The sequence below is a fragment of the Homo sapiens genome, chromosome X (genome assembly GCF_000001405.40).
Source record: "Homo sapiens chromosome X, GRCh38.p14 Primary Assembly".
In the NCBI taxonomy this organism is placed as follows: Eukaryota; Metazoa; Chordata; class Mammalia; order Primates; family Hominidae; genus Homo; species Homo sapiens.
The window spans coordinates 94844164-94846084 of NC_000023.11; the positions used below are offsets into that span (position 1 = coordinate 94844164).

The 1921-nt window shown below is 47.4% G+C and overlaps 1 annotated feature.

Moving 5' to 3' along the window:
• Positions 1129-1669: an enhancer, noted in NCBI's record as "H3K27ac-H3K4me1 hESC enhancer chrX:94100291-94100831 (GRCh37/hg19 assembly coordinates)". NCBI's record gives its function as "activates a minimal SCP1, AML or CMV promoter by ChIP-STARR-seq in naive H9 embryonic stem cells {active_cell/tissue: H9 hESC(naive)}" and the evidence as "EXISTENCE:reporter gene assay evidence [ECO:0000049][PMID:30033119]".

The window sequence follows — 1921 nt, forward strand, 5'->3', positions numbered from 1 at the left end:
CCCATCTTCTGAAGCCTACTTCTGCCAATTCGTCAAACTCATTCTCCGTCCAGTTTTGTTTCCTTGCTGACGAAGAGTTGTGATCCTTTGGAGGAGAAGAGGCATTCTTGTTTTTTGGAATTTTCAGCCTTTTTATGCTGGTTTTTCTTCATCTTCAGGATTTATCTACCTTTGATCTTTGATGTTGGTGACCTTCAGATGGGGTTTCTCTGTGGACATCCTTTTTGTTGATGTTGATGCTATTCCTTCCTGTTTGTTAGTTTTCCTTCTAACAGTCAGGCCCCTCTGCTACAGGTCTGCTGGAGTTTGCTGGAGGTCCACTTCAGACCCTGTTTGCCTGGGTATCACCAGCAGAGGCTGCAGAACAGTAAAGATTTCTGCCTGTTTCTTCCTCTGGAAACTTCATCCCAGAGGGGCACCTTTCAGATGCCAGCTGGAGCTCTCATATATGAGGTGTCTGTCAAACCCTGCTGGGAGGTGTCTCCCAGTCAGGAGGCCTGGGGGTCAGGGAATCACTTCAGTAGGCAGTCTGTCCCTTAGCAGAGCTTGAGCACTGTGCTGGGAGATACACTGCTCTCTTCAGAGCCGACAGGCAGGAAAGTTTAAGTCTGCTGAAGCTGCGCCCACAGCTGCTCCTTCCCCAAGGTGCTCTGTCCCAGGGAGATGGGAGTTTTATCTATAAGCCCCTGACGGGGGCTGCTTCCTTTCTTTCAGAGATGCCCTGCTCAGACAGGAGGAATCTAGAGAGGCAGTCTGGCTACAGCGGCTTTGCAGAGCTCTGGTGGGCTCTACCCAGTTCAAACTTCCCTGCAGCTTTGTTTACACTGTGAGGGGAAAACCACCTACTCAAGCCTCAGTAACAGTGGATGCCTCTCTCCTCACCAAGCTCAAGCATCCCAGGTTGACTTCAGACTGCTGTGCTGGCAGCGAGAATTTCAAGCCAGTGGATCTTAGCTTGCTGGGCTTTGTGGGGATAGGATCCACTGAGCTAGACCACTGGGCTCCCTGGCTTCAGCCCCTTTTCCAGGGGAGTGAACTGTTCTGTCTCGCTGGCGTTCCAGGTGCCAATGGGGTATGGAAAAAACTCCTGCAGCTAGCTGGGTGTCTGCCCAAATGGCTGCCCAGTTTTGTGCTTGAAACCCAGAGCCCTGGTGGCATAGGCACCCAAGGGAATCTCTTGGTCTGCGGGTTGCGAAGACCATGGGAAAAGCGCAGTATCTGGGCTGAAGTGCACCATTTCTCAGGGCAGAGTCCCTCATGGCTTCCCTTAGCTAGGGAAGGGAGTTCCCTTGCCCCTTGTGCTTCCCTGGTGAGGTGATGTCCCACCCTGCTTTGGCTTGCCCTCCGTGGGCTGCATCCACTGTCTAACCAGTCCCATTGAGATAAGCCAAGTGCCTTGGTTGGAAATGAGAAATCACCTGCCTTCTGCACTGATCTTGCTGGGAGCTGCAGACTGGAGCTGTTCCTATTTGGCCATCTTGCCAGCCACTCCCTTTATTTGAATGTTTTAAGACTTGTTATCTGACCTAACATGTGGTCTATCCTTGAGAGTGATCCATGTGCTGAGAAAAAGAACGTGTATTTTGCAGCTTTTTGATAAAATGTTCTGTAAATATCTATTACATCTATTTGTTCTATAGTGAAGATTAAATCTGATGTTTCTCTGTTGATTTTCTGTCTGGAATATCTGCCCAATGTTGAAAGTGGGGTTACTGAAGTCTCCAGCTATAATTGTATTTGGTCTTATGTCTCTATTTCTATCAATATTTGCTTTATATATCTGGGTGCTGTACTGTTGGGTGCATATATATATATATATATACACATAGGTTTTTAAAATTATTTTATACTATTGCTGAGTTAACCCCTTTATTATTATATAGTGACCTTCTTTATCTTTTCTTATAGGTTTTGTCTAGAA